General features: G+C 35.6%; 1 protein-coding gene across 29 annotated transcripts in view; it reads left to right on the top strand.

The window, feature by feature from the left end:
- The window catches only part of ATAD2B (ATPase family AAA domain containing 2B), a 249,155-nt gene that overhangs the window by 96,486 nt on the left and 133,299 nt on the right, over positions 1-19,370 (top strand). For 24 of the 29 annotated variants that reach the window (XR_001738780.3, XR_001738782.3, XM_047444799.1 and 21 more), the window contains 3 exons: positions 1,699-1,789; positions 7,069-7,380; positions 10,756-10,891. Coding sequence is in view for 26 of the 29 variants with exons in the window: in XM_047444799.1 (XP_047300755.1) it covers positions 1,699-1,789; positions 7,069-7,380; positions 10,756-10,891 (539 nt within the window). In the remaining 3 variants the exon portion in view is untranslated. Of the gene's footprint in view, positions 1-1,698; positions 1,790-2,777; positions 2,841-7,068; positions 7,381-10,755; positions 10,892-13,917; positions 14,004-19,370 lie in introns of those variants that run through there. The other 5 variants (XM_047444806.1, XM_011532932.3, XM_047444808.1 and 2 more) reach the window with 3 other exon arrangements.

Genomic DNA, 19,370 nt, shown 5'->3' with positions numbered 1-19,370 from the left:
GCCTAACTTAGAACTTGGAATTGAAACTGTAGCTATTGATTCCAGATTTTGTCAACTTTTTGAGCAAGATTTATCTTGATGACTTTGAAGTTGTTCTGTTTTGTTGCTGGACCCCAGATTCCTCATCAAGCCAGTAAGGTGTTATCATCTTGGTTATAATTTACTTTTTCATGTCTCAAGAAGCTTAGACAGCAGTGTTGAGGGAACAAGCATACTCAATTTTTAAAAAGTGTTGTAATTTTCTCCAAAGAGTGCAGATGTGAAAACAAAATTCTGATCTTACCGTTGGTGGTGGATAGTATCAGCTGATTATAGATTCTTATATGTTAGTGTTTTTTTAAGAAAACTATTTTAGGCTGGGTGTGGTAGCTCACGCCTGTAATCCCAGCACTTTGGGAGGCTGAGGTGGGCGGAACAGTTGAGGTCGGGAGTTCAAGACCAGCCTGGCCAACATGGTGAAACTCCGTCTCTACTAAAAATACAAAAATTAGCCAGGTGTGGTGGTGGGTTCCTGTAATCCCAGCTACTCAGGAGGCTGAGGCATGAGAATCACTTAAACCTAGGAGGCTGAGGTTGAAGTGAGTAAGATCACACCACTGTACTCCAGCCTGGGTGATAGAGTGAGACTCAGTCTCAAAAACAAAAAAAACTATTTTAGAAAAATAAATTTCTGTTTGTTTTGGAAGCAAGACATTAAAATTTTGATTGTGCTATATGCAGTCAGATTTAAGCTAGAGAATGCTGAAATCAATGTAAAATTGTTTATAACACTTTGATCTTTCAATGAATTTAATTGATATTTATTGAAATACCTTGTATTAAATGCCAAAGCATCAACTAACTGACAAAGTAATAATATGCTTGATTTTTTTTCTCCCTTTGAGACAGGATCTCACTCTTATCACCCAGGCTGGCATGCAGTGGCGTAATCACAGCACACTGCAGGCCTCGACCTCTCAGGCTCAAGTGATCCTCCCACCTCAGCTTCCTGAGTACCTGGGACCACAGGCGTGCACCACCATGCCCAATTAATTAAAAAACAATTTTTTTGTAGAGACAGGGTGTCACTATGTTGTCCAGGCTAGTCTTGAACTCCTGGACATAAACGATCCTCCTACCTCAGCATCCCAAAGTGCTGGGATTGCAGGTGTGAGCCACCACAACTGGCATGCATGATATTTAATTAAACTTGAATACTTTCCAAATTAAAAACTTTTTTCAAGTTTAAGTTACTTGTTATTTTGCTCATTGTTGATCATAATACCACAAATTCTATGAAATGTAAAGTTTGTTTAAAATTATGACTATAACTTTTATAACATGAAAGTTTTTTGTTCATATATTTTCAAATAGTAAAAGTGGTATGGTGGAAAAGTGAAATATAGTTTTGAATTCTAGTCCCAGATGAGTCACTTAGTTGTTATATGCTGCTAGTCAATTTTCTTCACCTCTCACAACATTAAATGTCTTAGGTTGTGAACACAGACAAGATCTCTACTACATATCTCCCAGATTTATTGTTGGAATCAGAGTTGATGTAGACAGATGCTAAGGTGTTTAAATTTTTTTTAAAATAAAAATTTTAATGGGATTGTTAGTCAAAATTTGTTCCACCTAACGTATTTGAGGGATTGATAATATTTTATCTGTACTTTTCTTCTTGGGCAAGATTTTATGTATCTGTGCTTTTCATCTTAGGCAAGAAAACACATCTTACAGATCCATACCAGGGACTGGAATCCAAAATTGTCAGATGCATTTTTAGGTGAATTGGCTGAAAAATGTGTTGGTGAGTGTTACTGTTTGAATTTTTTGATTGTCATTGTTTGTTCTGCTCAACCTCCCTTTCCCCTTATTTGGAATGTGAATGAGCATAGTTATGTTTTTGATTGTGCAATAGATTGTCTCTACCTTTATGTTTTAAAGTTATTTTGACTGTTTCACTTAAAGTTTGAGTACTTCTAAATTAGAATTTTAACTGCCATTAGGTGTTTAGTTAACAAAGCTCAATAATAACATGCCTTTCATTGAGTGCTGGGTATCCATAATATTAATACAGGGTCTCCTTTTGAATATCATTCCCTCTTAGAAATTTTACTAAGAAAAATAAGCTTGAACTTGAGAGAGAAAGGTCCATGTCAAAGCAGGACTGCAGCCTTTTACTTTTACTTTGCAGATTACACAACGGGCTTATTTTCATTCCTGTGGTCTAGAAAGAAGTTGGGTGGGAGAGGTCTTCAAAGAAAATAGTTAATTATATTTGGTAGTAGTTCCCCAAATATAAAACTTTCCAGTTTAACTTTAAATTTTTCACAGAGTGGAAGATCTCCCCACAGAGTGAATGAACACTACTGTCCTTCTAGGATGTGGTGAGAGTGTTTATCTGCACAGATGATCACACATAGGAGATGGAATTCAGGGTTTTGGCTCTAATTAGGTCTGAAATAAAAAGGAATACAATGTTAGGCACCTGAATATACACATAGGTATTTCTCCTTCATTCTTTCCCCCTCTTTTGTCTGTTTTCCTCTCATACTCTGAAAAATATAAATAAAAAAAAAAAAACCCAATCTTCATGAACTTTTTAAGCATTATGAAGAAATCCCCCAAATAAGTCCACTAACAACAGCTTACTTGGGAAAACTTTAAAGTTACCAAAGCCAAAAAGAACAACTTAATTTAAAAAATCATTGTGATCCACCATCAAATAATTAAAACTTAAATAGAACATTAGTCCATTCAGTTAGCTACATCCAAATTATCCTCTTCATCCACAGGGACCTCCATCTCCGAAGCAGCATCCCTCAGCTTTTGAACCACAAAGACCTCGACATCTTCTGGTGAGGAGAAAACGTAAATCTCTCCAGCACTACTTCAGTTTAAGCTTTGCCTGGTATAAGAGAGCATGCGCCAAACACATTTCATGTAAATTTGGCTTGACCTTTGCAAAGCCTTGTGCTGCTTTATGGGAGAGGGTGGTATTTGGTATAAAATCCAGTCTTTTCCCTTTTTGAAAATAGACCCCTTTTATTTATGATGATATTTTACTAGAGTTCAGATCGGACTGGGAAATCTTTGTAGATTTTTCTGTGAATTTGTCACAGAATGATCCTTAACTGAAATAAGCAGAAGTCAAGTTGTCAAATCATTTTGGAAATTCCCTAAGAGATAGGTACTCTAAATTACTTTCTATTATACTGTCTACCATCTGAAATATTATATACTCTAGTTTAATTCTTCACCCCAAATATTAGAATCTTAGTTTCCTTTTGCATTTCCAAAGACAATACTTCTCATTTTTCCCAGTGATTTTTTTAGCTTTTAGGCAGTTTCTTAAGTTTTAAAATTTTCATGGTATAATTTCTTACAGGACTGATAAATTTCTCTTACCTTTTTTCCCTCCCCTCTGTGGGGTGGTAGTATGTGTGCAGACTCTGCTTATATACCATTTTCTTCCTGGACAGTGACATAAAAATCCATTATAATTAAATGACTTCTGTTTTTTGTTATGACATTCATTCCATCTGAGAAACCGGTTCACATTAAAAAAAAAATCAAATTCAGATCTTCAAACGGGCGTGAAATAGTAATTTTAAATCCATTACAAACTCACTAGTCTGTGTATGCCAAACATGTTTTAACATGAATAGGTTCAGTTCATTGAAATTTATGCCTCATAGAGTATGATGAACAGCTGTGAAGATAGCTGACCTTTTGTTAGAGGTTATGGATTTGGTAACTTTTACCTTGAAATTCCCAAGTTCTTAGAGGTTTTTGCATGCATATTGGGTGTGATTTTTGCATAGTGAAAAACTCAACATACATTGATATCAGGAACATTTGCATAAATAGTAGGAAACTTATGATTAATGAAACACTCAACTCTAATCATATTTTTCTATTCCATTTTCAATGAGAGGGCTAAAACAATGAAAGAGTCTCAATGAAGTGACTTATCTTGTGGGCCTTCATTATGTGTGATGCTGTACTTAAAACTTTATAAAATTTTGTTATGACCTTGTTTCTAGTCTAACCTCTTTAGTAGCTGTATTTTCAGTCTTTTTAGAACAATTTCTAGCTTAATAGCAGTATTCAGGAATGCTCTTTATTTGATAACTAAATGTGTTCACAGAGTATTAGAATTGTAATGGTAGATTTAGTATGGTTATGAAAGGGATGTTTATAATTTCTTTAATATTAACTTTTAACGCCTAAAAGGCTGTAGTATATTTTCAGTATTACTAGAATGATCATATTATTTATTTTCTAAACAAGGACGCTTTGAGAGTGAAAAGATGTGCTATTATGACAGGACAAGAGGCCTAACCAGCACATGTGGTTACCCTAAGTATAACCCATTTAGCCATGGTTATGATGCAATTTTAAAGTTTTAGAAGGAAGTATGTTAAATCAGTAGTTCTCAATTTTGTGTGTATCAGAGTCACTTCTAAAGCTTTCTTGAAATGCACATATGATTTCAAGCCCCCAGAGATTCTGATTCACTGGGTTTATTGTGGGGCTTGGGAATCTGTTTTTTTTTGTTTCAGTTTCAGTGTTTATTCAGATGGATAATCAAGGTGAGAACCACAGATATAAACTGGTAATTCTTACTTATAAGCGAATGTAAAAAAATTTCCTTCTTTATAAGTCTGTTGGTTATAATAATTAATGTGAAAATCTACTTCATTAAATGGGGTCTATTGATCATTTCTTTGTCTGGAATAAATCAATAAATAATACATTGCTGTTATATATGTAATTAACATGTTGTGGCAAACATAAATGTTATGGGTAACATTTACTACCTAAAATGCCTTCTAGTGGCTAATTATTTGTTTTGCCTAATAGTTTCTGAGTTTTAATTTTTTTAAACTTAGGCTTTTGCACTTAAAATAGGACCATATAATATGTTCATTAACTGTGTATATCCTTTTAAAGAAGAAATAGAAACGTGATTGTTTATGTTGTTTGAAGATGGTAGTATATTCCTATTTCCTCGGAAATGGAAGACATAATTCACATTCTATAATCATATACTTAGATTACTTTGTTAACTCTTTATAACTTTGAGCTAGTGTTCTATACATTATTGAATTAATGAAATGGGTATATATGCAAAAGGAAAAGATAATTTTTTTCCAGGTTTCTTTGAGAAATAGAAAATAAAACGAGACACTAGTGGTAAATTTGGTTATCTGAAGAATTATTTGTGAGATAGATCACTGTCATGGAACAATGTTAATGCGTAATCTGCTTATAGTCTTCTGAATTAAGTTCTTCTAGGTCATATTAAGTTTTTCCCTAACTTTGAATAGGTTTTTCTTAGTAATCACCATTTTTAGTTCAGTATTTAAGTGTTCTATAAGGTCATTGTGAGGTATAAAAAGATAAATAGGCCAGGTGTGATGACTCATGCCTGTAATACCAGCACTTTGGGAGGGTGAGGCAGGAGGATTGAGGCTAGGAGTTTGAGACCAGCCTGGACAAAGTGAGACCCCTATCTCTACAAAAAAAAAAAAAAAAAAAAATTAGCCTGATGTGATGGCACACACTGTAGTCTCAGCTACTCAGCAGGCTGAGGCAGAAGGATTTCTTGAGCCCAGGAAGTCAAGGCTGCGGTGAGCCATGATCACCCACTGCACTTCAGCCTGGGCAACAGAGCGATAATGCTGTCTCCCAAAAATAAAATAAAAATAAACCTGGTATTGTTTGTTGAAGCTTAGTTAGGGTCTAATATTCTATAACTATTGGAATGGTTCCCCCTACTGGCATAACTGATAATTGTGGCCAAATGCAAGTTTAATTGCCAACAGGGAAAACAATATGGCTAGTTTGAGCTTTTCTTCCTTTTTGTGACAAGGATGCAACAGAGCATGTGTTTTTGTATGTATTTGTTACTCAGATGAATGAAATGACTTAAAAACAGTGGGGCTTGATCTGTTGTTTGATTGTATCATACATTAAACATGGGTAATAAATAATACCTTATGTTGGTATAACCCTTAGATTATCAGTCATTTTAAACTAAAAAAAGAAAATTAATGTGGAAAATCAGTGGAAATATTTTTAATGTTCTTATTTACTTTAATATATTTGGAACTATCAGATGAATTACAATTTTAAATGATAATTATGGGAGTAACTGAATGTTAATAGTTGGTTGTACTCAGAGTTGGTAGTAGAATAGCTCTGTTTTTGAAGTTTCTGTTTATATACTATTTTATACGTGTTTGGAAGTTAATAATATTAGAGAAAGTCATTTATAAGTGAGTATGATGTCATGAGGACTAACCTAATGATTAGGAATATTGATGAAGGACTGAAATGAAACTATTATTCTTTTAAAACTTTTTTCTAAAGAAAGTTGTACGTTGTAGGCCAGGTGTGGTGGCTCAGGCCTGTAATCCCAGCACTTGAGGGTGCTGAGGCGGGTGGATCACTTGAGCCCAGGAGTTTGAGACCAGCCTAGGCAATGTAGTGAGACCTCATCTCTACAAAAATAAATAAAAGAAAAGAAAAAAATTATACGAGTGTGGTGGCACATGCCCGTAGTCCTAGCTACTCAGAAGGCTGAAGTGGGAGAACCACTTGAGGCTGGGAGGTAGAGGTTGCAGTGAGCCGGATTGTGCCACTGCACTCCAGCCTGGCTGGGCAACAGAGTGAGACCCCTGTCTCTTGTTTATTTTTTGAGACCCTGTCTCTTAAAAAAAAAAAAAAGTTGTACATTGTAATCAGTTAATCACATAATACATGGCTTTTGTTTTAAAGCTCATATCAAGGACATATTTAAGATACATAGCTTGTTTTGTTTTAATATTGTTAGCTTATGTTTTTTTTAATTAAAAATATTCAAAACATTTTTAATCTTAATGTAAGTATTCAGCCCTTTATTCAAAGTTTTGTTTGGTGATTTTAAATGGCTAGTTTTCATTTTGCTGGTAAAATTGCACATAGTTATTGATTTAGTATTGATTATGACTTTAGCTAAAGATGTGTATATTTACAAAACATAGTTGGTGCATGGAATAATGAATGTACCTTTGCTATCCTTCTCCTTTTGTGTATTAGGCTACTGTGGAGCCGATATCAAGGCCCTGTGCACTGAAGCCGCCCTGATTGCACTGCGGAGGCGTTATCCCCAGATCTATGCTAGCAGTCATAAACTGCAGCTGGATGTTTCCTCAATAGTGCTTAGTGCCCAAGATTTTTACCATGCAATGCAGAATATCGTGCCTGCTTCCCAACGTGCTGTGATGTCTTCAGGGCATGCACTATCCCCCATCATAAGACCACTGCTGGAAAGAAGCTTCAACAACATCCTAGCAGTCTTGCAAAAAGTGTTTCCTCATGCTGAAATTAGCCAGAGTGACAAAAAAGAAGGTACTCTAAACTACTTTTTTATATTGTTAAGATGAAACAAATACAGGAATAAATAAATATAGTTTCCTCATAAGATTATTTATGTGTCACTTTTGTAATATATCTGTTTATTCAGTACTATATATTCCAGGCCTGGCATATTGCCTGGCATATGGTAGTTGCCTGGTGAATGTTTTTAAGACAAATGAATGAATGTTCACTTTTGGGACATTCTGATCATCTTAATGTAGGGCTATTACTATCTTTAGAAAGTTGACTGTAATAATAATAATAATAGGTTAACCTTTAAAGCCCCTAAATCATCACTTACTAATCCTTTTTTTTTTTTTTTTTTTTTTTTGAGATGGAGTTTCGCTCTTGTTGCCCAGGCTGGAGTGTAATGGCGCAGTCTTGGCTTACTGCAACCTCCGCCTCCCGGGTACAGCGATTCTCCTGCCTCAGCCTCCTGAGTAGCTGGGATTTCAGGCACCTGCCACCACGCCCGGCTAATTTTTTTGTATTTTTAGTAGAGATAGGGTTTCACCATGTTGGCCAGGCTGGTTTCCAACTTCTGACCTCAGGTGATCTTCCCACCTTGGCCTCCCAAAGTGCTGGGATTACAGGCGTGAGCCACCCCGCCCGGCCTGTTAATCCTCTTAACAGGCTTGCAGGTAAGCACTCTGATTATATAGAGCAGGGGAGTGGGAGATGTAGGCTGGTAATTTATTTTTTTTGAGACAGAGTCTCACTCTGTCACCTAGGTTGGAATGCAGTGGCCTGATCTTGGCTCACTGTAACCTCTGCCTCCCAGGTTCAAGCAGTTCTCCTGCCTCAGCCTCCCAAGTAGCTGGGATTACAGGCGTGTGCCGCCACGCCCAGCTAATTTTTGTATTTGTTTGTTTGTTTAGTAGAGATGGGGTTTCACCATATTGATCAGGCTGGTCTCCAACTCCTGACCTCAGGTGATCCACCCGCCTTGACCTCCCAAAGTGCTGGGATTAGAGATGTGAGTCATCGCGCCCAGCCTGGTAATTTAATTAATATAAGGTCATTCAATAAGTTCTGGGGACTGCCTCAACCCAGGGAGCCTGATGACAGCCCTTGCTCTTACCTATGTTGCTATAATGCTTCTTTGGATTAAACTAATCATTTTGTTGTTATTGGTAGGACACTCTGCAGTGTGCAGTGCTCATAGGAGTGTAAGGTATTGGTAAGGGAGTAAATAAGAACCTCATTTTAGAGGATCTTGAGTTTTGTCAAGCCTCAGATTGTACTTTGCACCTGAGATAAAAACAGAAAACTACCTTTAAAAACATCACTCATGGCTGGGTGCGGTTGCTCACGCCTGTGTAATCCCAGCGTTTTGGGAGGCCAAGGCGGGTGGATCACCTGAGGTCAGGAGTTCAAGACCAGCCTGGCCAACATGGTGAAACCCTGTCTCTTAAAAAATTAAAAACAAAAATAAATAAATAAAATTTAAAACATCACTCATTTACAGGAAAAACATTTAAAAATTACATTGACATTCTAATCAGAGTATAAAGCTCATAAACTTTGAAGGGAAAGTAATGTCTTTTGATTATCTTAATTTCTGCAGTTCCTAGCACCTTGTCTGGAATGCAGTCTGCACCAAATAGAAAATTATTCAGAGAATTATACTAACATTAAAAATATATATAGTAAAAATTATGAATATTGTTCAATGAATTCTTCTGTCATAAATATATTTTTCAGAAACTTTAATTGTTTAGTGACAGACTCACATAAGATACCACATGGAATACCTGATTTCTTAAATTTGGCAGACAGAGGGGAATGAATATTTTACTGAATATCTGTGAGCCAGGCACGATGCCATGATTTGTGTATTTTTTATTTCTGAATTTCATAACTGGAAATGTATTTCATATATATGTTATGTACCAAAACGTCCCAAAAAACTTACGTCACCTTTAGAAAATCATAAAAACCTCATCTTTCCTTTGGAGAGATTATCATAGCTTTTTATCTCCATTTGTGAATTACCATTTTATAGCATTATTATCTATGTTTTCTTATAGCTTTTTTTGTGTGTAAATATAAAGTATGCTTTAGTTCCAGTTGGTAGAACTAGTTGCCATGAACCAGTGGAGAAGAGCAACCAAATTTTATTTGATTATCAATAATTGGTTTTTAGCTATTTAGTCATATTTATTCTGGCTTGTTTTGACCTTTAATATTTTTCTTAGATAAATATTTCCTTGTGTATGAAATTATCACTCAAAAGATACTCAGTTATTTCCCAGATTAAACTATGACTTGTACTAAATATTTAGCTTTTTTTTTGTTTTGAGACGGAGTCTGGCTCTGTCACCAAGGCTGGAGTGCAGTGGCGCAATCTTGGCTCACTGCAAGCTCCGCCTCCTGGGTTCACACCATTCTTCTGCCTCAGCCTCCCGAGTAGCTGGGACTACGAGGCGCCTGCCACCACGCCCGGCTAATTTTTTTGTATTTTTAGTAGAGACAAGAGTTTCACCATGTTAGCCAGGATGGTCTCGATTAAATGTTTAGCTTTTAAAAGCCACTTGAGATCTCTATCTGCTAGCATAATTTAGCATCTCATTTTAGAATGCATCTGTATATTTTTTATTTTGAAAGGATATGATTTCTCTTAATCTTAATTCTCTCTCATATCCCGTACACATGTAGCATTGCTTTTTATTGAATGAATTGTCAGTTTTAATTAGGCATGTTTGAAGTATAGCAACAGCTGTTCATACTTCAGGTGGTAGTCCAGGTAAGGCTTTAAGTGTTGCATTCTCAGTAGAGATTTTAGTTCCAGTTAGTTCCCTGAGTGATAACCTAAGGCCCACAGAGAGAATAATGCTGTATGAATGAGTGTATTTTTAAGATTAGCTTTGACGGAATTTCTGACTCCATCTTAACTACACTAAGACTTCTTTGAAAAGGTGTATCCTCTTTAAAAAATAAGGGTCAGTTTGTTCCTTGTTGCTTTTATAAGAACTGGCCTTGACTCAGCTAACCTACTAATTAAACCAAATATGAAATGGACTGGTTTTGGTCAAAATTAACTCAGAGATTTTTAGTTAAATAGGTGGGATTTTATGAGAGTGCCACATCTTTTCCAGACTTGTTTTTTTTTTTTAAGCCAGTCAGTGAGTTCTTCCAAATTATATCTCATAACACTTAAGTAAATAGTCTGTAAAGGTGAAAGTGTTATATTAATTTTGTTTATAAGTTATTTTAAAAGCTGCAGTTTGTCAGTTTGCCTGTATTATTTGATAGATAACTTATTAATGTCATTTGATTTTTTAACCCAATTTTTCTTAGCTTTGGTAGGGCACGAATATTAAATGACTTTATAAGCCCCATAACCATTGTGATTTTTTTAAACAGATATAGAAACTTTAATTTTAGAGGATAGTGAAGATGAAAATGCTTTATCAATTTTTGAGACCAATTGTCACTCAGGATCACCAAAGAAACAGTCATCATCTGCTGCTATACATAAACCCTACCTTCATTTTACAATGTGAGTGATTTATATCAACTTTCTTTGTATTTAGAGTGATTTTTGATACTTTATGATTAGAATTATGGTATATTTTTACTTATGGTTATAACTGTGAGGATATTGTTTTTCTGTTGTTTGGACACAATTCTGGAAAACTTTTACTATGTATTCTTTTTCATGTGGTAATAGTTAGTTTGTTGGTTAACTACCTAGGTGTTTTTTTCTCCAAGTAGAAGAATCTTTCCTGCTACTTTACTTTTTTTTTTTTTTTTGGGAGGCAGAGTCTCACTCTGTCACCCAGGGTAGAGTGCAGTGGCATGATCTTGGCTCACTGCAACCTCTGCCTCCTGAGTTTAAGCTATTCTCGTACCTCAGCCTCCTGAGTAGTTGGGATTACAGGTGTGCGCTACCACGCCCAGCTAATTTTTGCATTTTTAGTAGAGATGGGGTTTCACTATGTTGTCCAGGCTGGTCTCGAATCTCAGGTGCTCTTCCCGCTTTGGACTCCCGAAGTGCTGGGATTATAGGCGTATGCCACTGTACCTGGCTAAGTTTACTTTTTTTTAAAGTAATGGTGTAAATTTTTTCCCCCATGGAGGCAGAGGAAAGCTTACCCTTAGAAAGTCAACTCATGAGCCCCAACTTTATTGCTTTTTCTTTAAACTAAAATGGGCAGAAATGAAATATTTGCCATGATCTGGAATACTTTAATTTGTAATAAACTTTAGATGATCATTTAGGTCTCTAAGGCTGCTAAAGAGATTTCGATTTAGAAATTGTTCAGTAATTAAATAACTTTTTGATTTTCTAGAAACATTATACTTGCATAATTTGGATTTTATGATTTTTCAATTTACATTTACCCTTTTATTATCTGTGTTAAAGCAAGTTTTGCTGTGCACTATAATAGGTAAACACTTTTAGTGCAAATGTAATTTTAAATTAAGAGGCCAAATAGTTTTCAAATACTAACAGCATCTTTACTTGCATTTACATAATTAGCCCCATAGTTGAAGGACCATAAAGCTTCAGTCAGGTAGATCTAATAGCACTTCTATTAGAAGAGGCCGGATTGTGTGTACTTTTAATATTTTGAACAAATTTAAGTCTCCAACTTGAAGTTTTCCCATGTAGATTTTGGTGAAATGTTGATTTGATTATTTGCATTGATAACCCTTTCTTGTTTTTCATTTTTAAAAATGAGCCTAAATTACTTTCATCTCCTCTTTTTTTCTTCATATGTTCTTTAATAGCAAACTCTTTGTAAGTTTTTTTCTTCTTCTCCAGATCCTTTCTTTTATGCTCTTGGGGAAGTTTTTTTATAGGCTATTCCAGCATTTTACAGATTTGTTTTATTGATAGTTATGGGAAAGCCAATTTTTTTTTTTTTTTTTTTTTTTTTGCTTTTCACCTGGCTAGCCTGTGCGTCTGTGTCTCTCTGTCTCTCTCTCTTTCTCTCTCTCTCTCTCCCCCCTCCCTCTCTTCTTCCCTCCCTCCCTCCGTCTCCCTCTCTTCTTCCCTCCCTCCCTCCCTCTCTTCTTCCCTCCCTCCCTCTCCCTCTCTTCTTCCCTCCCTCCGTCTCTCCCTCTCCCTCTCTTCTTCCCTCCCTCCTTCTCTCTCTCTGTGTGTGTGTGTGTGTGTAATGTGTGTGTGTGTGTGTGTGTGTGTAATGTGTGTGTGTGTGTGTTTATGTGTGTTTGACAGTTATAGTTATTTGGATTTGTATTATGTAGTAGCAGAAACTAAGTAAGTATCAAAAGACGTGTTTAATTTTATAAGATAATTGTCGTCAATAAAGGAATACAGAAATAGATTTTGATATTAGAAAGTATCATGTACAGTGTTAAGTTTGACTTTTTATTGAGGACATTTCCTGCCACTGATTTAATGTGAAACATTGGTATGGCTCATTTTGTTTTAGCTTTTCTGAAAGAATTGGTTTAATTTTAGCTTCCTTTACATAAGCTTTTCTAGTTCATTCATTTGACTTTGATTAAATAATGAGACAGCTATATGCTAGAATAAGCATTTTTTAGATGTTTTAATAATAATTATTCACTTATTTCTTTATTCACCTACCCATTTGTCCAATTTTTCTTTGTTTACCCTATGCCAGGCATTGTATGAGATGCTGAAAACATAAGCATGAATAAGATATAACATAGTTCTTACTTTGGAGAAGGTCTCATGGTTGGGGGTGACAAACATTTCAATATGGCGAAAGTGCTGTGAAAGCAGAACTAATTCTGCTGGAAGTCTGGGAAGGTTTCACAGGAGAAGTAGTGATATTTGCTGTCCTTTTCATTATGAAGGGATGGGAGTTTGCATCTGAGTGCTTTTTACAAATTAGATACTTGCTTGGTATGTAAAGATCTGTGCTTCATATTCAGTAATATATATAGGCCCCTTAACAATCATATTGCATTTGTGGTATCTTCATTTTATAGATGAGGAAAGTGAAGCACACAGAAGTTAAATAAATTGCCCATGATCCTGTTGCTAGCAGGTGGCAGAGCCAGACTCTGTGCTGTTTCCTAAGACCATATTTTTCCAAGTTATTTCTGAGCTTAATAAGTAGCTAGGGAATTGCATTGCTTCTTTAGGTAAGTTAAGCCATATATTTCACACTCTCCAAGAAGCATACACTTTAGAATTAAGGCCTTTAGTATGGGCAACATATAGTCTTTTTTGTTTGGTTGGTTTAGTTTTCTGTTTGAGCAAGATACGTTAGCATTACAGATCAATGCAGAAGAAAAGGTGCTCGGCCAGAATAAAGCATAACTTTAGTGCTGGTTTTCAGTCACACTAGCCTGGGTATTGCTGGTGAATTTCTGGGAATAGTCTCCTGAAACAATGTTGAAACCTTTTCTTTTTTACATTTAATATAAAGGAGAAGTCAAGATAGTTAAGGTTTACCAATCTGGTAGAGAAGCTTTATGATGGAAAATAAATTTTCTTTCTTACTTTATATTACCATAAGGGTGACTAGAAACAGAATTTTCTGAGGTTTTTCAAATGAAAATAGCTTTGTTTTTTCTGATTAGAAAGATGATATACACTGTAGAAAATTCAAGTAATAAAGAAGAGCATAAAGAAGAAAGTAAAAATTAAAGCCCCAGCACCTGCAGGTAATATTTGTTAAAGTTTTGGTGACCACACTTCCATGTCCTCTCTATGCATGTATAATGTATAGACCCATACATTATCTGGATTATATCCTCCTATAAGTTGTTAATATAACTTACTTTTTCATCCACTATGTTGGGAATATTATTTCATGTCAGTGTATGTTTAATATGACTGTTTTAAGATAGCTGCATATTATCTTACACTTTGGATATTCCATAATTTATAGACCCTTATTGGTAAAATTTGAAGTTTTCAAGTTTCTTCTTTTATGAACAATAGACTTGTTTCTAAGTATACATCTTTACACCACTATCTGATTCAAAGCATAAGGTAAATTTTAAGAACTGCAATTGCTGTGTCAAAGAGTGTATACATTTAACATGTTGACACAGATTGTTAAATTGCTTTCCAGAAGGCTTGTACTAGTTTACATTTCTCATACTAATGTATGAGAGTAGTATTTTTCTTATACCATTGTCAATTCTGAGCACTGTCTTTTAAAATCTTTACAAACCAGATAGATGAATATAATATCTTTTTGTTTAGTTGACTTGTTCATTTGTTCTTTCATATATTCATTCACTCATTCAAATGTTTTGTAAAAGTGCCCATCATGTTCCAGACATTGTCCTGGGTAGTTGGGGTAGGTCAGTGAACAAAATAGGGTAAGATCCTGGCCCTCATTTAACTTATATTTTTAAACAGAGGAGACATTCAGTAAAATAATAAATGTAATAGCTTGCTAGATAGATAAACTGTTAGAAGATAAGTACTATGGGGAAAAAATGTAGAAGATAGTAAGAGGCTGGGGAATCCCTAGGAGTGGAGTGAGTTATTGAATACTTTTGGGCATACATTTTGGCATATTTAGATCTATCACATATAATTTCAGAAAAGTTGTGCTTTTCTTCCACTAGTTGTGAGGATATCAATTTTGCCATCCTCTCATTGATAATGGGCATTACAATTAATTTTTGGTTTATTAATCTAACAGATAAAAGATGTCCATCATTATTTTCATTTATATTTTCTCATTTTTTAAAAATCTCTGTGTTAATGACTACCATTTTGTTCTCAAGCCTAGATTGCTCTTGAGCTTCAGACCCTGACCAGTGGCCCATCTCCCCTTTGTTGTACCATGGATCTTTCCGTACATAGCTGGACTGTATCATACGCCCCTTCTCTTCCTGTGACTCCTATGAGCCATCATTCATTCAGTTGTCTCAGCTAGAATTTGACATCATTCTCAACTTCTTTCCTTTTATTTCTTTCTTTGTCTAGTCAATGACCAAGTCTTTCTGATTTTTCTTACTAAGTAAGTCTCATCGCAGGCTATTCCTTCTTTCTCTAACACTATTCTTGTTGAACTGTCATTCACATGTCATGCCTGGGTTACTATAGCAGATGCCTGATTATCTTTCCTCTCATTTGCCTTCTTTCAAAACCCTTTCCCATACTGACAATGCTGAGATAGAGTTATCTTCCCTAAACATGTATATGATTATCTTGTTCCTCTAAAGTATCTTAATGCTTCCCCATTGTCTTCAGTACACATTCCAAACTTTTTTTTTTTTTTTTTGGAGACGGATTTCATTCTTTTTGCCCAGGCTGGAGTGCAATGGTGTGATCTCAGCTCACTGCAACCTCCACCTCCCAGGTTCAAGTGATTCTCCTGCCTCAGCCTCCCAAGTTGCTGGGATTACAGGTGCCTGCCACCACGCCTGGCTAATTTTTTTTGTATTTTTAGTAGAGTCAGGGTTTCACCATGTTGGCCAGGATGGTCTCGATCTCTTGACCTCATGATCTGCCCGCCTTGGCCTCCCAAAGTGCTGGGATTACAGGTGTGAGACACTGCGCCAGGCCACATTCCAAACTTTTAACGTGGCTTACAAAACCCTTTGTAGCCCTTCATAGTCTAACTTACCTTCTTTTTTCTCTCCCCACCCTAGTACCTTTACTGTACCCTCCACAACTTGTCCCCAGTACTTCAAAACAAACAAACAAAACCAAAACTGGCTGTATGAACTGTATTAGTTACCCCAAAGAGCCATGTTCTTTTTAACTGTTGGTCCTTTGCACATCCTGTTTGCAGTCTTGGAATTCATCTCTTGTACCTCCAATCTTTTGGGTTTCTGCCTTGGTAACACTTTTCCAGGAATGCCTTCTATGAGTCTCTAATTGGTATCTTCCATAGCACTGTGTACTTAAACAGTACCCCTTATTAATCACATTGAACTATGGTAATTTGTATATTAACTTTTTTACTAAATACCACTCAGTTATGAGCTCTATGATAACACTGGTATTGTTTGATACTTAGGGCTAAGGCATTCAGCATAGGAGGCATTCTATAGTTATATAATTAAATAAACATTTTAAAAAGTTTCCTATTTCTATTTTCTCTTTGAATTGTCTTGTTTTACGTCCTTTGCCCATGGAGGTTTTTGAAAACTATGCATATAAACTCTTTATACATTAAGAACCATTCCTGTTTATGACAAATTCTTTTTATTAAATTTTCTTTTTATGTTTTTTCAATAATTTTGTTTCTGAGATAGGATGTCTATGTCGCCCAGGGTAGTCTTGAACTCCTGAGCTCAAGTGAGCCTCCCAACTCAGCCTCCCAAGTAGCTGGGATTACAGGCATGTTCGACCGTGCCCTGCTCTGTAGCAAATTCTTTATGCCATTTGGTTGTTTGCTATTTGGTTCAGATTATAATTTTTGGGTTACAGAGGTTTTTAGATTATTATGAATTAAAAATAAATGAATCTTTTAATTTAAATTTTGTGTTAGAATTCATTTTGTTTATGCTGTGAAATGACCTGAATCCTCCGTTTTTAAACATTTATTTTATTATCCATTTCTCTTCCTTTTATTTTATTTTATTTTTGAGACAAGGTCTCATTCTGTCACCCAGGCTGGGATGCAGTGGCACCATCATGGCTCACTGCAGCCTTGACCTCCTGGACACATGTGATCCTCCTACCTCAGCCTCCTGGTGGCTGGGACTACAGGTGCACACCACCACACCTGGCTAAATTTTTTTTTTTTTTTAATTTTTTGTAGAGATGGGGTTTTGCCATGTTGCCCAGGCTTGTCTCAGAACACTTGGGCTCAAATGATCCCCCCACCGCAGTCTCCCAAGTGCTGGGATTACAGGTGTGAGCCACTGTGCTGCCCTCATTTATTTTTTATGATTCTTTTCTTAGATGAAATTGTTTCATGTAAGAAAATATAAATTCTTATACATTTTATACATTTATATTCCTATAAACTTATATATTATAATTCATATTATTTTATAATATATTATAAAATAACAACATAATTTATATGACTTATAAATATTTTATAATTCATATAATTTTTATAAACATATGCATATAAATTATTTCATTGTATATGAAATTCTTTCATATAGTGATTACAATTAATCATTTCCTAGGCTGCCTTTTATGTTTGTCTGTTTCTTTGATATATTCTACATTCTATTAATTGTTATTCTATAATATGTTTCAGTATAAAGTAGGACACATCTTAACATAGTGGGTTCAGAACCTGAGCTTTGCAGTCAAATGGGCTTGAATGACAATTTGAACTCTTCCACCTGGTTATACAACTTTGTAGTTAACCTCCACGAGCCCTGGTTTCTTATCTGTTTAATAAAATGAAACTATGTGTTTCACAGAATTGTTAAGAAAATTGAACAAGAAATCTCTATCAAGTGCTTGTTACTAAAACATGTTTGAATGCATTAAAATTGGTAGCATTTTTTTTTTTTTTTTTGAGACTGAGTCTCACTCTGTTGCAGTGGTGAGATCTTGGCTCACTGCAACCTCTGCCTCCCAGGTTCAAATGATTCTCCTGCCTCTATCTTCTGAGTAGCTGGGACTACAGGCACGTGCCACCACGCCCAGCTAATTTTTTGTATTTTTAGTAGAGACGGGGGTTTCACCGTGTTAGCCAGGATGGCCTTCATCTCCTGACCTTGTGATCCGCCAGCCTCAGTCTCCCAAAGTGCTGGGATTACAGGCGTGAGCCACTGTGCCCGGCTGGTAGCATGTTTTAAAAAGTTTTCTTGATATTCTTACTTGATTGTTCTTTCAGTTAAAGTTGTGAGTAAGTTGAAACTCCCCTCCTCCCAAAAATTCTTTTGGGATTTCAACTTGAAAATCCTATGTGTATAAAATAAAAAAGTAAATGGGTTAGGAAGAATTGACGTCTTTATGTATTTAGTCTTTGTGTTCAGGCTCAGTTTCACTCTTTTCTTGCTAAGACTGTAATTAGATAATGTTTGTTTTACCTTTTTAATTTTTTTTTTTTTTTGCAGTGAATAGGATCTCCTTTCCTTTTTTACAGTGGTTATTGATGGTGTTTAGGAAATCTATTGATTTTTCTATTTCTTCTGTCTTGTTACTTTGCTGGTAGATTCTGACAGTTTTTGGTTGATTTCTTGGATTTGCTACTACATAATGATATCCTTTACAGGTATCAATTTTTTCCCTTTTTGCTTTCTATTAGTTCCATTTTAAATTTGCTTTATTCTTACTGCATTGCCTTAGAATGTCTAGTACTACCCACAGTGAGAGTAAACTTTGTTTCATTTGTTATTTTAATGGTGCTGTAGAATCTCGAAATTACAAGTCAAGTTTGGTTTAACATATTTTCTTTCTCTGGTATGGAGCTTTAGATGTCATCTGTCAGGGTAGTAACAGTTAGTTTTTGTTGTTACAGAAATAAAATTTGTGTTGGAAGAAGTTTATGTATATATATATATATTTGTTATTTTAAAAATTGTGATTGTTTTAGTTTGTTCCTGCTGCTGTAACAAAATACCTTAAACAGATTAATTTATAAACAACCTACATTTATTTATTTATTTATTTTTATTATACTTTAAGTTTTGGGATACATATGCAGAATGTGCAGGTTTGTTACGTAGGTATACATGTGCCATGGTGGTTTGTAGCACCTATCAACCCGTCATCTGCATTAGGTATTTCTCCTAATGCTATCCCTCCCCTGGCCTCCCACCCCCGGACAGGCCCCGGTGTGTGATGTTCCCCTCCCTGTGTCCATGTGTTCTCATTGTTCAACTCCCACTTATGAGTGAGAACATAACAACATAAATTTATTGCTCACAGTTAACGGAGGCTGAAAGTCTAAGATGAAGGCTCTGGCAGATTTGGTGTCTGGTGGGGGCTTGGTTTCTGCCTCTAAGATGATGCCTTGACCGCTGCTTCCTCTGGAGGGGAACAACAATGTCCTCACATGGCAGAAGGGATTGAAGGGACTAGCTAGTTTTATTATCAAGCCCTTTGATGATATAACTAATCCATTCATGAGGGCTGACTGCTCATGACTTAA

This window comes from Homo sapiens, chromosome 2, assembly GCF_000001405.40.
Source record: "Homo sapiens chromosome 2, GRCh38.p14 Primary Assembly".
NCBI lineage: Eukaryota > Metazoa > Chordata > Mammalia > Primates > Hominidae > Homo > Homo sapiens.
Note: the sequence above shows the minus strand (reverse complement) of the source record. Positions and strands in the feature narration are given on the sequence as shown.